Source organism: Homo sapiens, chromosome 2 (assembly GCF_000001405.40).
Source record: "Homo sapiens chromosome 2, GRCh38.p14 Primary Assembly".
NCBI classification, from domain to species: Eukaryota; Metazoa; Chordata; class Mammalia; order Primates; family Hominidae; genus Homo; species Homo sapiens.
Window position 1 is genome coordinate 49,002,568 of NC_000002.12, and position 17,842 is coordinate 49,020,409.

A 17,842-nucleotide genomic window follows, 5' to 3' on the forward strand; every position below is an offset into this window, starting at 1 on the left:
GCCGAGCAAAGGGGAAAAGCCCGTTATAATACCATCAGATATTGTGAGAACTCGCTGATTGTCAGAAGAACAGCATGGGGGTAGCAGCCCCCATGATTCAACTACCTCCCATGAAGTCCCTCCCCAACATGTGGGGATTACAATTTGGATTACAAATCAGGATGATATTTGGGTGGGGACACAGAGCCAGACCATATCACCCCGGGAGGCCCTGTTACTTGCTTACAAGTTCTCACAGGCAGGGCCAGGGCTGGAACCTGGGTCTTTGGATCTCCTGTAAAGAAAAGAGCTTATCCCTGATGTCTTGCTAAGTGAATCTGTGTCTATGTGGCTCCTGTGGTTTGGTCATTGTCCAGAGAGACCATGATGGATGATCATTGTGAGGGAGGTTGCCTAGCTGCTTCCCTTGCAAGTCCTTCAAGCATGCCAGGCTTTCTCTTCTTAGCACTGCTATCTTTGAATTCCAAATGGGTGAGGGAAAAGCTCACTGCCTCTTGAACTAGATGTTATTTGTGGATTGTTTTCTGTGGGTGAGCTCGTGATTAAACCACAGCAGAACATTTTTGCGATGTCTGTTGAAGATGAAAATATTCTTTTGTGGAGCATTTTTCACTTCAGTGTTCACACTCTGTGATGCCCCAAGATATTTCTCTAAAAACAGCAGCTGCTCCCCTCTCTACCCAAACAAAAAGGTTCCAACCACTCCGGCCCACATTCTCATGAAGGGCCACTGTGTGCAGACCCTGTATTCTGTGGGGACCTAGAGATAAACTGGACACAGCCCTTGCTCTGGATTGGATGTCAGTGGAATCTAGTGGGGAAATCTCCAGCTACTTTGTGGTTTCCCCGTCCTGATCTGGCTGACTTGTGAGTCCCTGGATGCATTCCTCCTGCAGACTTGCCCTTGGGGAAGACAACGTCCTTCCCAGAAGGATAAATCAAGAGTTTGGGGGCAGCTGGGACAATTCAGCTAGAATATTCCTGTACCAGGATCTTATCGCCTAAGAATACACGTTATGAAAGATAAAGTAGAAGAGATGAACAAATAGATGGAAGCAGGGAAAAAGTGGGTCTCTCTCAGCAAGTATTTCAGAGTGGGGCGAGGACCAGGTGCAAGCATCTGGATCACAGCCAGGTTTCTATAAAAGAAAAAATGAATAATCCTCCCTCCCTGCACTGGGGATATAGTGATGGAGAAAACCTGGTCCCCCACCCCCACCCCTTGGAGTAGTGCAGAATCTGTCACTTGAGTGACACTCTCCCTTCTCTCCATGTCCTGACTACCCTTGCTGCCCACTGCCCTGCCCTGCCTCCTCTGGCCCATCCCCATGGAGATGGGTAGCTCTCAATGTGTGGCCTGTCCCAGGGATAATTGCAAATCTAAAAGGGTCTCTAAGGACAAAGATACCTTTTAAACCTCCCAATATGAGGCTTTAGTAGTGGAATAAGAGGCAACAGTTTATTTTCCATGGAGGTGGGGTATTTGCCTAATGTCTCTTCAGTTTCCACTGTCCACACTGTCATTCTGTCTGTGCCCCAGGCAGGCCCTGCCAAGGATTTCTCCTTCCCAGGCCAGCTCTAATGGCTGCTGGGTGCTTTCTGCCTCTTAAATATCATTTCCACATCCAGTGCCTCTCAGGCTCTGCTGAGGTGGTTGTTCTCATTTGTCAGGGACTGGGGTGGCAGGAATACATCTATGACTGTCCTTTAGCTCTAGGAGCTGCACTTTAGCTGTGCTTAATTTATGAGTAATTTACAGCTGATTTAAGCTTCTCACTGCTTCTGCAAGATCTCAGCATTTGAATCCTGGGGAAGAGGAGCTGGGAAGTGAAGTGGTCTGCAAGATGCCAAATGTTCTTATCTTGCAGAATCACTTCCTCTTTCCATACAGGGCCCCTCGTGTGGGGCCTGAATATGATGAACTCAGGACAGGCAGTGACACTGGGAGCCCCAGATTCATGAAGATCACAGTTCAGAAACCAAGCACTTCAGGGCTAGAGTAGATCTTAGAGGATTTTCTATTTTCCTCATTTGACTAGCCTCTTGAAGCATATTTTGTTATTTTCAGTTTGCAGATGAAGAAACTGAGACCTGAAGAGATTAGTACATCACTGGCTGATGGGAGTGTCTGATGAGGATGATATAGCAATAAGAAAAAAATCAGAGCTAAGCTTTACTAGGCTAATCTGAGACTTGCTTTTCACCCAGTCCTCTCTAGACTTGTCCTTATATCTGATTTCTGGTGATGAAAGACAGACAGGTCTTATTTCAAAATTAATGAGGTAAGGATACAACTACCTTGTAAGAAGGCATATCCTATGAAAATAAAATTGCACCGAATCTGCAAATGGGTAGAGTAGATGGTCACCTATGTGCTATTTGAGTGGGTCCTGTAGAAATTTTCTCTCCCTCTTAGAAATCCCCCGTCATGGAGTCCATCACTACCAACTCTTGAGTTTAGCATTACCTTTTTCAGGTTCCTCTTTCAAAAATGCAAATTCTCCTTGAAAGGAGAATATCAGAGTCTGAATATGTTGATATAAATTGATGGATCAAGTGATCTCTTTGCTGATGGGAAGGACTTGGGCTTCTTTCAGGAGAACGCATACTGAACAGGTTAGGGGAGAACAGGGAGGAAAGGTAAGCAGCATGAAAATGTCACCACCTTTACAATCAAGAGGTGGTCCTTGCCTCCCTGGAGATGACCGGCTTGGGCTGAAATCTCACCTTCAACATCAGTGTTCTGGAAGGAAAAGCTGGCCACATTTTCCTAGATTTGAAGATGGTAGGCAAAGTTGGCTCTGCCAGGCAGATTACTGATAAAAAAAGCAATTGTAAATCTCGATTGTGCCCAAACATCCTTGTAGTCATGGCAACATCCTTAGATCCTTGCAACACTGACAGCCAGGAGATGGCTAATAATTTCTTCACTATAATGATAGTCCTGCATAAGATGTCTGGATTCTCGATGAGTGATATCTGCAAGATGACTCTGTGTGGGAAGTGCTTAGGAGGAGGTACTGGGGGAAGAGAGGGTTTTAGGGGTTACTGAAAGTGAGTGTGCAAAAAAACAAATCACTGCAACCACTTAGATGGATGTCTGACCCAGAGATGAAACATATTCCAGTGATTCTGTTTTAGAAATGTGTCCCTATTGAACCATGCCTTTCTATCCCTCTAAGCACCACCATTACTGTATCCCTGGATTATGGCAACTGCCCTGTGATGGTTAATATTGAGTGCCAACTTGAATGGATTGAAGGATGCAAAGTACTGATCTTGGGTGTGTTTGAAAGGGTGTTACCAAAGGAGATGAACATTTGAGTCAGTGGGCTGGGAAAGGCAGACCCACCCTTAATCTGAGTGGGTACCATCTAATCAGCTGCCAGCATGGCCAGACTATAAAGCAGGCAGAAAAAACGTGAAAAGATTAGACTGGCTTAGCCTCTCAGCCTACATCTTTCTCTCAGGCTGGATACTTCCTGTCCTTGAACATTAGACTCCAAGTTCTTCAGATTTGGGACTCAGACTGGCTTCCTTGCTCCTCAGCTTGCAGATGGCCTGTTGTGGGACCTTGTGATTGTGTGAGTTAATACTACTAAATAAACTCCCCTTTATGTATACATCTAACCTATTAGTTATGTCCCTCTAAAAAATCCTGACTAATACATGACCCTTAACAGGTTTCCCTATTGTATAGTCTGTACCCTGCTACTGGTCAACTTACAGTCCAAGTCATTCTCATTATGTCACTCTGCTGCTCAAGAATATGTTATAACTTATTTTTTCCTACTGCGTTAGGCTTAAACTTCTCTGCCTTAATTTTTCTCCCAATCTTACCCAACCCTATCCATCCAAATCTAGTCATACTCTTTCTCAGTACACACCTTCTTTTTAGTTGGGACTCAGTTTCTTTACATCCTTTATCATTTCCGTGGTTATTTCATTCTATTCATTTACAGTACTCACTTCTTTCTTTCCCAGGAAATTTATTCTTCTTTTATGTCTCTCCAAATCATATTTATCACTCAAGTTCCAGCTATGTTACCTCCAAGAAGCCCACAACAAGCTTTCCCTGACTAGTCTGGCCTGAGGCACAGGGTCAGTCTTCTCACTCAGGATCAGTGCCACACAGCTCTACAGAGGTATTGCTATTTCCAGGGGTTAACGTTTGATAGACTTTTCTCCCCAAAGGACTGAGCTCCTTGAAGTGAGAGCTGTCCATCGATATCTCCTATATCTCACACAAGCCATCCCTTCCATCCTTTCTCAACCACGCTTTCTAAAGCACGACTCTCTACTTTTACTACTTTATTTTTCTTCATAGCACCATCACCACCTGACATTATCCAACATTGTTTGACAGGACAAATGAAGCCTCTGCCCTTATAGAGCTTACATTTTAGTTGGAGAGACTAATAGCTACAACAAAGCCTGGAGTGTACTATGACCTCAGTAATTGATTGTTGAATGATTGGCTGAGTGAATGAGTTCTTACTGATTGGCCAATTCACTTCAAAAAGGATGGAGGAGAAATGGGGAGCCACCAGGCCTTTCCACCATGCACATGGCTACCATAACTTCTAAAAATGAGCCCAAGTATGGCTCTTTTCCCACCATCATAGAGAAGTAAACATAGCTAAGCACGAAAAGTATAAGAATGATTCATTGTGTAGGGACATTGCATCCTCCTGTCAGAAGAGCCCTATAACCAAGTACTATAGACAAGTCAGCTTACATCTCCTGTAAAATGGCTGTGTGTCCCTCCTACTGTGTGGATTGTTGAGGTTCAAATGCAACAAAGGATGATAAGTGTTAAATTATAAATAAACATAAAAATGGGAAGCATTATTCAACCAGCTGTTTGTGTAAAAAACTGGAATTATTTTGAATAGGGATGGCAAGGGAGCTTGTGGACCACTAGTGTTGAAAATAAACATAAAAGGCAGGGTTGAGAACTTTTAGAATTGTGCAGGATAATGTAGTTTTGCTTGTTGGAAGGACTTTTTTGGATATGTCAGGGGTTCTGTAAGAAGGCTCCTTTTGTCTTTTGAGAAACATGAATGATGTATTTCCATGATAGAATGCTGAGTAGTAGATGTCCTAAAGAAGCAGTTACAGAGGCCTTCAAAACATTAGGAATAACGGAAAGGAAAAGAGACCCCATCACTACTGTCACCACCATCATCATGATCATCATCAAATCAGAAACATTTATTGTGAATGGATAATATACCAGAAGCTTTACAATCAGTATCTCATTTAATCCTACACTGGTCTTAAAATGTAGGAATTATTATAATTTTATCTTTTCCTTTTTTTTAAGCAGAGGAGAGAGCTGAGGTACAAAGAGATGAAGTCTCTTGCATGGGCACCCTTAACTAGTAAATGGCAGGGTCAGGAATTTAATAAGAATGGATAACATTTGTTTTGAATTTTCTTTTTTTTAAATTTTTTTTATTTTTTATTTTTATTATACTTTAAGTTTTAGGGTACATGTGCACATTGTGCAGGTTAGTTACATATGTATACATGTGCCATGCTGGTGCACTGCACCCACTAACTCGTCATCTAGCATTAGGTATATCTCCCAATGCTATCCCTCCCCCCTCCCCCACCCCACAACAGTCCCCAGAGTGTGATATTCCCCTTCCTGTGTCCATGTGATCTCATTGTTCAATTCCCACCTATGAGTGAGAATATGCGGTGTTTGGTTTTTTGTTCTTGCGATAGTTTACTGAGAATGATGGTTTCCAATTTCATACATGTCCCTACAAAGGACATGAACTCATCATTTTTTATGGCTGCATAGCATTCCATGGTGTATATGTGCCACATTTTCTTAATCCAGTCTATCATTGTTGGACATTTGGGTTTGTTCCAAGTCTTTGCTATTGTGAATAATGCCGCAATAAACATACGTGTGCATGTGTCTTAATAGCAGCATGATTTATAGTCCCTTGGGTATATACCCAGTAATGGGATGGCTGGGTCAAATGGTATTTCCAGTTCTAGATCCCTGAGGAATCGCCACACTGACTTCCACAATGGTTGAACTAGTTTACAGTCCCACCAACAGTGTAAAAGTGTTCCTATTTCTCCACATCCTCTCCAGCACCTGTTGTTTCCTGACTTTTTAATGATTGCCATTCTAACTGGTGTGAGATGGTATCTCATTGTGGTTTTGATTTGCATTTCTCTGATGGCCAGTGATGATGAGCATTTTTTCATGTGTTTTTTGGCTGCATAAATGTCTTCTTTTGAGAAGTGTCTGTTCATGTCCTTCGCCCACTTTTTGATGGGGTTGTTTGTTTTTTTCTTGTAAATTTGTTTGAGTTCATTGTAGATTCTGGATACTAGCCCTTTGTCAGATAAGTAGGTTGCGAAAATTTTCTCCCACTTTGTAGGTTGCCTGTTCCCTCTGATGGTAGTTTCTTTTGCTGTGCAGAAGCTCCTTACTTTAATTAGATCCCATTTGTCAATTTTGGCTTTTGTTGCCATTGCTTTTGGTGTTTTAGACATGAAGTCCTTGCCCATGCCTATGTCCTGAATGGTAATGCCAAGTTTTCTTCTAGGGTTTTTATGGTTTTAGGTCTAACGTTTAAGTCTTTAATCCATCTTGAATTGATTTTTGTATAAGGTGTAAGGAAGGGATCCAGTTTCAGCTTTCTACATATGGCTAGCCAGTTTTCCCAGCACCATTTATTAAATAGGGAATCCTTTCCCCATTGCTTGTTTTTCTCAGGCTTGTCAAAGATCAGATAGTTGTAGATATGCAGCGTTATTTCTGAGGGCTCTGTTCTGTTCCATTGATCTATATCTCTGTTTTGGTACGAGTACCATGCCGTTTTGGTTACTGTAGCCTTGTAGTATAGTTTGAAGTCAGGTAGTGTGATGCCTCCAGCTTTGTTCTTTTGGCTTAGGATTGACTTGGTGATGCGGGCTCTTTTTTGGTTCCATATGAACTTTAAAGTAGTTTTTTCCAATTCTGTGAAGAAAGGCATTGGTAGCTTGATGGGGATGGCATTGAATCTGTAAATTACCTTGGGCAGTATGGCCATTTTCACGATATTGATTCTTCCTGCCCATGAGCATGGAATGTTCTTCCATTTGTTTGTATCCTCTTTTATTTCCTTGAGCAGTGGTTTGTAGTTCTCCTTGAAGAGGTCCTTCACGTCCCTTGTAAGTTGGATTCCTAGGTATTTTATTCTCTTTGAAGCAATTGTGAATGGGAGTTCACTCATGATTTGGCTCTCTGTTTGTCTGTTGCTGGTGTATAAGAATGCTTGTGATTTTTGTACGTTGATTTTGTATCCTGAGACTTTGCTGAAGTTGCTTATCAGCTTAAGGAGATTTTGGCCTGAGACAATGGGGTTTTCTAGATATACAATCATGTCGTCTGCAAACAGGGACAATTTGACTTCCTCTTTTCCTAATTGAATACCCTTTATTTCCTTCTCCTGCTTAATTGCCCTGGCCAGAACTTCCAACACTATGTTGAATAGGACCGGTGAGAGAGGGCATCCCTGTCTTGTGCCAGTTTTCAAAGGGAATGCTTCCAGTTTTTGCCCATTCAGTATGATATTGGCTGTGGGTTTGTCATAGATAGCTCTTATTATTTTGAAATACGTCCCATCAATACCTAATTTATTGAGAGTTTTTAGCATGAAGGGTTGTTGAATTTTGTCAAAGGCTTTTTCTGCATCTATTGAGATAATCATGTGGTTTTTGTCTTTGGCTCTGTTTATATGCTGGATTACATTTATTGATTTGTGTATATTGAACCAGCCTTGCATCCCAGGGATGAAGCCCACTTGATCATGGTGGATAAGCTTTTTGATGTGTTGCTGGATTCAGTTTGCCAGTATTTTATTGAAGATTTTTGCATCAATGTTCATCAGGGATATTGGTCTAAAATTCTCTTTTTTTGTTGTGTCTCTGCCCGGCTTTGGTATCAGAATGATGCTGGCCTCATAAAATGAGTTAGGGAGGATTCCTTCTTTTTCTATTGATTGGAATAGTTTCAGAAGGAATGGTACCAGTTCCTCCTTGTACCTCTGGTAGAATTCGGCTGTGAATCCATCTGGTCCTGGACTCTTTTTGGTTGGTAAGCTATTGATTATTGCCACAATTTCAGATCCTGTTATTGGTCTATTCAGAGATTCAACTTCTTCCTGGTTTAGTCTTGGAAGAATGTATGTGTCAAGGAATTTATCCATTTCTTCTAGATTTTCTAGTTTATTTGCGTAGAGGTGTTTGTAGTATTCTCTCATGGTAGTTTGTATTTCTGTGGGATCGGTGGTGATATCCCCTTTATCATTTTTTATTGCATCTATTGGATTCTTCTCTCTTTTCTTCTTTATTAGTCTTGCTAGTGGTCTATCAATTTTGTTGATCCTTTCAAAAAACCAGCTCCTGGATTCATTAATTTTTTGAAGGGTTTTTTGTGTCTCTATTTCCTTCAGTTCTGCTCTGATTTTAGTTATTTCTTGCCTTCTGCTAGCTTTTGAATGTGTTTGCTCTTGCTTTTCTAGTTCTTTTAATTTTGATGTTAGGGTGTCAATTTTGGATCTTTCCTGCTTTCTCTTGTGGGCATTTAGTGCTATAAATTTCCCTCTACACACTGCTTTGAATGCGTCCCACAGATTCTGGTATGTTGTGTCTTTGTTCTCGTTGGTTTCAAAGAACATATTTATTTCTGCCTTCATTTCATTATGTACCCACTAGTCATTCAGGAGCAGGTTGTTCAGTTTCCATGTAGTTGAGTGGTTTTGAGTGAGATTCTTAATCCTGAGTTCTAGTTTGATTGCAATGTGGTCTGAGAGATAGTTTGTTATAATTTCTGTTCTTTTACATTTGTTGAGGAGAGCTTGACTTCCAAGTATGTGGTCAGTTTTGGAATAGGTGTGGTGTGGTGCTGAAAAAAATATATATTCTGTTGATTTGGGGTGGAGAGTTCTGTAGATGTCTATTAGGTCCGCTTGGTGCAGAGCTGAGTTCAATTCCTGGGTATCCTTGAATTTTCTAAATGTCGATCATTTGTCTAAACATTTGTTTTAACTCGATGAACACAACTCGGTGATGCAGGCAATGTTAAGGTTCCTACTTTTCAGAAAGCAAAGTTAAGCCGATTATACAAGCTTATGCAGCAAATAAGGGAAGCAGCTGAGACCTGTGCCCAGACAGGTGCCACTGGATTCTTTGTGCTTCCTTGCTACTCTGAGCTGCCTCTTGACTCCCTACCCTCTGTCCCCTTGCCGTGCTACCTCCAAAAGCAGTTCAGCTTTTATAACCAGAAAAGCTACTTTTAATACTCCTACCAAATTAAATTTAAGGGACAAACACAGAAAAGAGAGAGAGGGACTTAGCTGAGGGTTGGGAAAGAAACAGCCTGGATTGCTGAGGGGAGTCCCAGTGAAGAATCTCCTGGAATTGTTCCCACCTGAAGAAAGCACATGTCATGGCAGCCATTAACAGGCATCATAAGGAGGTCTAACAGGCCCACATCTGAGTGGAAGATGGTTGTCAGTGGGGCATGGGGGTGGGGCTTACAGCACTGTGTGAAAGGTTTGCTAAAATGGAATTATGGTTTATTGAGCAGCAAAGAGAAACATCCAGCTGCCTGAGAATTACTTTAACAGGATGCAAAGGCAAGAAAATATTGTGTAAACCTTATTTACAGATCAATAGACAATCTTTCATACACAAAAGGTCAGCTCCAGGAAGGCAGAGCAGTAAAGAAAGAAATATTGCCTGTAAATACAATATTGACTTAAAAAAATCCACCCAGATGAATCCTTTGATGCATATTCTTCAAGTTAAGAACACTTCTTTATTCATGAGTTTTTTTTTCCTAACCACTTAAGGTTCCTCAGTGAAGCATGAAGGCATTGATGAAGAGCACTGATTTCTAGTTGTCTTGAATTCTGTGCCATCAAATGAGCAGCATGAGATGGCATCAACAGGGAGAGCTTCAGAACAACATTTTTAAGTACCCGTATGCAGAAATTAGGACATTCAAGTCAAGTAGCAACTCACCCCTACCCCTTGTAATCTCCTGCTTCAGTGGCTGTGATGATTAACATTTATCCTGGCTTAAGAAAAAAACAAAATGAAACAAAACCAACAACTCAATCCTACTGGTCCCCACTGAATTCCTTCATCCATTTTGCGTTTTTTCTCTTGAAGCAAGTAGTTCATCATCCCAAAGAATATCTGAAATCGTTGCCATCTACCTCTACCTGGCTGCTGGAGCATGAAGCTGTTAGGACTCCTGCTCAGATGAAAATAAGCATGGAAGATATGCTATGGACTGAACTGTGTCCTCTCAAAACTCAATTGTTAAAACTCTAATCCCCACTGTAACTGTATTTGGAAATAGAACTTCTGGTAGGTAATTAAGGTTAAATGAGGTCATAAGTGTAGGGCCCTAAACCTGTTAGGATTATTGCCATTATATAAGATAAGACACCAGAAACTCATTCTTGCTCACTCAAGTCTCTCTTTCTCCTTTCTCTCCACCTCTCTCTCCCTCTCTCTCTCTTTCTCTATCTTCCCCCCCCACCCCCACTTTCTCACTCTCACTCTTGGTACTATTTGAGGACACAGGGAGAAGGCAGCTGTCTGCAAGCCAGGAACCAAATTGGCCAGTACCTCTTGGACTTCCCAGCCTCTAGAACTGTCAGAAATAAATTTCTGTTGTTTAATTTACTTAGCGTATGGTATTTTGTTATGGTAGCCCAAGCTAACTAGTGTGAGGTGGAAGCTTAATTAGGTTTTGTTTCCCTGACAAAATCTTTCAGATTTAGAGGGCCACCTATGAGTTTAGGTGATCCCTCTTAGCAGTTTGGAAAATATTTCAAAGAGCTAGAGTCTTAGCCCTGAATATATATATAAATATATATATATATATAAATAAATATATATATATATAAATATATATATATATAAATATATATAAAAATATATATATAAATAAATATATATATGGTTTATTTATTTATTGCAGGTAGAAGTGCCTTTGGAGGGCAGAGTTGCCATACACTGAGGAGGAGTACATAGCTGGGAAAGGTCCACCCTGGGCAGTAAGTCAAAGCCTTAAGATAGACAACTCTTGGTCTCAACTCCCTAATGGGAAATCTACATAGCAGTGGATGTGCAAACATTTTGTATAGTGTAGAATTATATAACTGCAATGAATTGAACGTTTGTGTCCTCCCCAAATTTATATGTTGGAACCTAACCCTCAATGTGATGATATTTAAGGGTAGAGCCTCTGGAAGGTGATTAGAGTTAGATAAGATCATCAGGGCAAGACCCTCACAATAGGATGAATGCCCTTACAAAAAGAGGAAGAGACATGGGATCTCTCTTTCTCTCTGTGTATATGCACCAAGGTAAGGCCATGTGCATATACATTGTAAGGATGCAATGGGAAGATGGCTGTCTGTAACCCAGGAAGAGGGCCCTTACCAAGAACTGGCCAGCTGGCATCCTGATCTTGGGCTTCTAGCCCCCAGGACCATGAGAAACAAATGTTTATTGTTTAAGCTACACAAGCTACAGTAGTCTGTTAGAGCAGCCCAAACTGACTAAGAAAATGATATGCTATTTTTCAGAGCAATCAAGGAGAATCCCTCGACAGTGACATAATCCCTTCTAAATCCTTTCTTGTGCTTTTCTTTCCTTAGAAAGCAGGTTTAAAATGCCCTGAGAACAATAATCTTCTCTCAGAAAAAGATGTGTCTGGAATTGGTCACCTCCAGCTTTTTGTGAACTTGATACAGGACTGAGGACTACTCAACACCCCAAAGTGAGACAGAAAGACACAAAGAGGAGGATGGACTTAGTGGCAGGTGGCACAGATTTCAGCCTTTTTCAGAGGCAAAGGCATAGCTCTGTTTCCTCTGTTCTCCCTCTCTCCCTTCCTCTGTCTGGAGCTGTGCTTTCCATGCCCACATCCTTACAAGTTCAAGTATCTCCCCTGCCCTCATCTCCTAAGGGAAGGGCCAAGGGGGTCCTCATTCATAAGAACAAATGGTGCTGGCTGCAAGATGTGGGTCAATGATGAGGTCAAATTCTGAATCCCTTGGTTTCAAATTTTGCAATGATTCCTCATTTCTCATTTACCTGTTTCCAATCCGCATTTTCAGATATGCTATTATTATCATGGGCTAGGGATATCTATGTGAAGAGCTGGTTTTCTTCTTGGGTTTGTCCTTGGCAGGAGTGCTTTGCATTAGCCATATGTGATAGTTTATGAATGAAAGTGTCTCTGGGGATGCCTCTTCATGTCCTAGAGAGCATTTGTTCTGTCACTGAAGGCTCTATGATCCCCATTTTCCACTTTGGCATTCTCCAAAACAAAAGAAGAGAAGGATCTGGAAGGGAGAGATAGAGTTGGGAGAAAGGAAGAAAGAATGAAGGAAACTAACTGGGTAACAGGCACTAATAATTTTATATTTCTATAGTTCTTTATAGTTTTTATATAAAAACAATTTGCAAAGTGTTTTTTTATTAAAGGCATAATCTTATTTGGTTTTTACAGCCGCTCTATAGATAAGCAAACTGAGGTTTAGGGAAAGTAATTAACCAGCTAGCTAATAAATATCAATGTTCTATTTGGATTCCAGTCCTTCTGAATTCATAGTTTTTCATATATAGTTTCTTTTCCATTCTGTTCATTTAAATGCAAAGGCATGCTCCAACTTCCTCTTTTTGAACCCTTGCCAAGCATTTGTAGGTAAAAGCTGAAGGTCTTAATCGGCAGCATAATTATTCAACAACTTACTAGAATTTTCCTGAGGATGGGCTGGTAGACCTTGAGTATTTGACCAGAAATAATTATTCTACAAATACATTTATTAATGTTTTTGAGCACTTCGTATTTGACAAAATATTTTCATATCTAAATCTTGTTTGAGGTTCATATAAGCCATGTGCGTCTCTCAGAAGTCCGGTGATTGGCCCAAGATTTCTCAACTATTGAATGATGGAGTCAGGATGAAGACCTAGACTTTCTGATTCTGAGGTGCATGCTTTTTCTGTTGTCACGTATTTCCTCTACTGTTATGTGCCTAGGCATGTTAGCCTCTGCAGAGAGCATAGCAAAGATTCCATCCCTAAGGAACATGATGAACTTAGAGATCAAGACTCCTAAGCCTGAAAGTAGAAGAGCTCATAACCCTAACCTCTAAGCAGGACTGGCTACGTAATTTGTGGGATGCTGTGTAAATAAAAATGCAGAGCCTCTTGTTTAAGCATTTCAAGAAGGTAACAGCAGAGAATGAAACCCAGCAGTCCTCTGAGTGCGGGGGCCCTCCTGAGCACAAAGCCCTATACAACTGCACTTGTGTGCCCATGAAGCCAGCCTACCTCTGACAGTAACTTAGAAGCAGATGACTTTGTTTCTTTTTCAGACCCTTTCTGGGGTAGCTGTCAGAGAGCAGAAGTTCCAGGTCATATGAATTGTCTCCTATTAAGTCTTTTATTACCTCAGTTCTCATTCAGAGAGCTAAGGCACATGATGGCCCAGTGTTTCTTATTATACCTGTTAAGTCCAGTTCTTATGAATGAAAATTTAGGCACAGAATCGTAATATCATTAATAGCTAATATTTACTGAGCATCTACTATCAGAGGCGTAGTACAAAAATGTTTAAATACTTTAAACTGATTTCAAAAGTGGCTTCAAAAAATGGCTTCAATTCTGTATCCTTCCCTATGCCTTGTGTTGTGACTTTGCAGCTTTTCCCATCAAGAAGTAGCATCTTCACCTTTTGAATCTGGATGATTCAGTGAATTGTTTTGGTTAATAGAATGCATCAGAAGAGATAGTGTGCTAGTTCAGGATCTTGGCCTTAAGATGCTTGCAGTCTTCAGCTGTCTCTCTTAGAACCCTGGGATTACCATGAAAACAAGCCTACTATGCTACCCTGCTAGAAATGAGTGCCTCTTAGAGGAGGGCTGAGTCATCCCAATTGAGGCCATCCAGAGTGGCCAACATCCAGTTGATCTGCCAATTAACAATAGATGTATAAATGAACTTAGCTGAGGTCAGGCAGACCTAGTCCAGATCAGCAGAACCATTCCACTGATCAACTCACAGAGAGGTAAAAAATGACAAGTAGTTGTTGCTTTAAGCCTCTATCTTTGTGTAGTGGTTGGTTGGTTATGCATGATTATGATGCTAATAGATAACAGATATTCAAGGATTATTATTTCCATTCTCTTGATGAAACAATATGCGAGGTTAAGTCCATACCTATGATCAGTAGCTGGTAAATGAACCCAGAAAGTTTAACTCCAGCGACCAAATTCTTAACTGTTATTTTGTGGGGTCCCATTATAACACTCATGGCTCTGTCAAGCCCTCAGCTAATCCGAAAGCCATTTGAGTAGAGGAAGCAGTGCTTTTGCTGATAGGGGCAGGCCCAAAGAATGCAGCTGAAACACTAGGAATCTCTGCTGATAAAATACCATGTGTGTTATTAACGAAAACATACAAAATAAACAAAATAAAATGCTGATATTTATCAAGGGAAAAATGCATATATGCAGAATAAGAGAGACAATGGCTTTGAAGTCAAGGTCACAAGCTAAATGCTAGCAGAAATTTTGGCTGTATCTCATTAACACTAAATTATGACTGAGTTCTGTACGAGGTCCATGTGACCGTCCCATTAATGCAAATGGCATTTCTTATGTCTGTTTTTGCAAATGAAAACAAGATACAATTATGTTAGTAGAATTTGCTCATTAAACTAAAATCCATCACCAAGTATCTCTCCACCTCCACTTCTGCCCCCCACCACCATCCTTGATCAAAAGTAATTGCTCCCCAGAGTATCAAGTAGGCCTTTTAGTAAAATAGGCTTGCACTATTTAATCATAGTGGGGGTACCAAACTACATGAGTTCTTACAGATATTGAAGGTTGGGAAGGTTCTGGAAGGCCTCAGGGTTGATGTAGAGCAGGTTGTTGGCCTTTTCAATTCTACTGTAAAAGAAGAAAAAACATGCTAGTGATCTTGATGGTAAGGAATGCTGTAGTATTTTTCACATTTTACAGAGTACATAATAAATCATTCATCCCATCCACTCATCCACCCATCTATTCATCCATCCATCCATCCATCCATCATTTCAATAAATATTGAGGGAGCATGCAGTGCCTTTTATCACACTAAGCTGTGCAAACTAAATATTAACCCTGTCTCCCTGCTGTTTCATTCTCATTACCTGGGCCCTGTCCGCTGGAGGCAAACAGAGCATTGGCTGGGTGGGTTCTTGTCACCCTGAGCAGAGCTGCATCTTTAACCAGTAAGAATCGCCCAGGGTTGGAGGAGGCTAAGAGGTTAGGAATGAGACTAATATGGCGAAATGAGTGTTTGTCTGGTCGGGAGGCAAGAGAAAAAGGAATGAAAGTAATGAAAAAGAGCAATGAAAAATGGAAAAGAGGTGAAAAGAAGATAAGGAAGGAAAAAGTGAGGGGCAAAAAGGTATTGGAGGAAAAGAGAGTGAAATGGCAAAGAAAAAGAAAGTTGGGAGAAAAACAATCGATATCTTTTTGCTTTTAAGCATGAAATCCAAGCATACAGTAGCTGGGAATGGCCATTGATTCCCTTTATGCAGTAGACTGAGGCTGCTCACTCAGAGCTCATGGAAAGGGGTGACTTCTGCCCTATTTTGGCTTGTGCTGTGTCTTGATCAACAGTCTGGAAGTGAGCATGTTCACATTTGGATTCCAACACAGACAGCCTGCCCTTTCCTTGTCTTGCTGGATCAATGTGTATTTGTAGACATGCTCTCTGTTAGTTACTTCCTCCCTGTTTCATTAGCTTTTATGTTGCTGTAAACTGTAGCTACCCAGATCTAAGTACCAGGCAATTAATCATTTTAAGTACAGTCAGTGCTACATGGAGGTGAGCACCTCTTTATGCAAGGAAGAGATGAAAGACCCAAACCACTACCTTCACTGTCCATTGAAATGTTTCAAGGGATGCCTGCTTGACCTTGCCCAGAGGGCTGGCTGCCCTTTGGTTCATTTCTCTGATAATGTCTGTGGGTTCTTCCCAACTAGACCAAGTGGAAAGAGAAGAAAGGAAGAAGCATGAAAGTAATGGGGAGAGGGAGGGTGAACATCACTTGCAGAGTGCAGAGGCAACGAGGAAAAATGAAGGTAGGAGGCAGAGTGGGTAGAAGGAAGTAAAAGGGAGAGGGGAGATTGCCAAATGAGCAGACTAAAGAAATTCACACACACGCGCATGCACACACACACACACCTGTGTGTCTATTTGTGTGTGTGTGTATCTGTTCCCTACTGATATTTGGCAAATGATAAAAATAAATTCATCCTTGTTAAAAAGATACAAAAGAGTCAAAAGATTAATGTTCAAGTTCTTATTTGTGTGTGGATTTGGACAGATGACCTTAGATAAGCCTTACAACTTCTCTGTGCCTTTCCTTCTTCATCTGTAAAATTAGGAGGTAGTTCATTGGCTTTCTTAAATGTGTTCCATGGGGATTTTGTGAGATGGTAATCACCAATCTCTAAAGAAAACTTTCCAGTGACATTAGTTGACAAACACACAATATCCTTCTTGGAGATTCTAAATGCATATTAGCATATTATAGACTCTGAAAAGTTTTCCTATAAGAAGCAAACCTATCTAATTTTATTTACCTAATATTTCCTAATCTTATTTGACCATAAATCTTTTCCTTTTTAAAAATACCTTATAATTCCCTGAGTTTTTAGTGATACACAGAATATACTTTGAAAAATTGTTGACCAGTCTCTAAAGTCTCTTCTGGCTTTGACATTCTATGATTCTATGAAATAATTTATAGTAATAATAAACTGGTATGAAACAGAAGTGGATCTGTGTGAGCAGCGCTATTATGTAAAACTGGAACATCAACAAGAGAAAGTAAATTTGGCTGGAGTAGTAGAGGAACCAAGGATCATTATAACATACACACTCTAGGCCAGTCAGTATGCTAGATTTAATTGACATTTATCTTCTTTATTCATCAGGGTAATCCTATGACATATGTAATTTTATTATTCCAGTTTTACAGATGAGAAAACTGAGTCTCAGATAGTTATCTATCTTGGCCAAGGTTTCATGGTGAATATATGGCATAGGCCAGTAGTCAGACCAGGACTAATCAACTTCAACTACATCATGTGGGACTTATTTTGGGCTTTGACTGGAATAACTCTGAATGGAAGGATGACACAGAGGTGCTTGCACATAGTCACTGGGCAAAGTTCTTGGGTCTATGATGCAAAAAATGATGACAGGCAGGCAACAGGATGAGACTAGGCTCTGAGCTGGTCCCTGGGTCACCAGATAGAGACACATTACAGTGCCTTTTAGGCTGATTTTGACATCTTATAATGACAATCTAGGGATCTGAGGCCATGGCAGAATCAGGGCCTCCCAGGAATGTAGAAGAACTTTAAGGGTTTTTTCAAGAATGGCCATGAGCAAATCCCCCAATCTTCTTGCTTACATTTCATGTAATTTGGGAAGGTTGGAGAACACATCTGCCTCTATCACCTCCAAGACATCATTCTGAGAGATCTCTCTGTGGAGAAAAAAATATATAAGTCAAGCCAGTTCAGTTACACTCCTTGAATATTTTTAGGGCTCAGCATAGAGCCTTGTGTCTGGGAGGATTCACAAGACACACAAAACTCCTTTCCTGCCATTAAAGAAGTCAGCTGTAGTAATAAGGCAAAACTAACATACTAGAGGCTAACACTTACCGAACAAGAGGAGAATAAGTCGAAGGCTGTGGCTCACCTTGGAGATTATCCAGTCTATAGTTGTAGAA

The 17,842-nt window shown here is 40.7% G+C and overlaps 1 protein-coding gene across 5 annotated transcripts in view, besides 2 other annotated features; it reads right to left on the reverse strand.

Annotated features, from left to right (window-relative positions):
* Window positions 1-17,842, reverse strand: part of FSHR (follicle stimulating hormone receptor) — a 192,359-nt gene that overhangs the window by 40,411 nt on the left and 134,106 nt on the right. For 4 of the 5 annotated variants that reach the window (NM_181446.3, NM_000145.4, XM_011532733.3 and 1 more), the window contains exons 3-4: window positions 17,519-17,593; window positions 14,922-14,996 (exon numbers count right to left, since the gene is read on the reverse strand). In NM_181446.3, coding sequence (NP_852111.2) covers window positions 14,922-14,996; window positions 17,519-17,593 — 150 coding nt within the window. Of the gene's footprint in view, window positions 1-12,129; window positions 12,381-14,921; window positions 14,997-17,518; window positions 17,594-17,842 lie in introns of those variants that run through there. The other variant, XM_047443867.1, reaches the window with a different exon arrangement.
* Window positions 1,629-1,678: an enhancer, noted in NCBI's record as "active region_15750". NCBI's record gives its function as "activates an Ori minimal core promoter by ATAC-STARR-seq in GM12878 lymphoblastoid cells {active_cell/tissue: GM12878}" and the evidence as "EXISTENCE:reporter gene assay evidence [ECO:0000049][PMID:35858748]".
* Window positions 1,709-1,828: an enhancer, noted in NCBI's record as "active region_15751". NCBI's record gives its function as "activates an Ori minimal core promoter by ATAC-STARR-seq in GM12878 lymphoblastoid cells {active_cell/tissue: GM12878}" and the evidence as "EXISTENCE:reporter gene assay evidence [ECO:0000049][PMID:35858748]".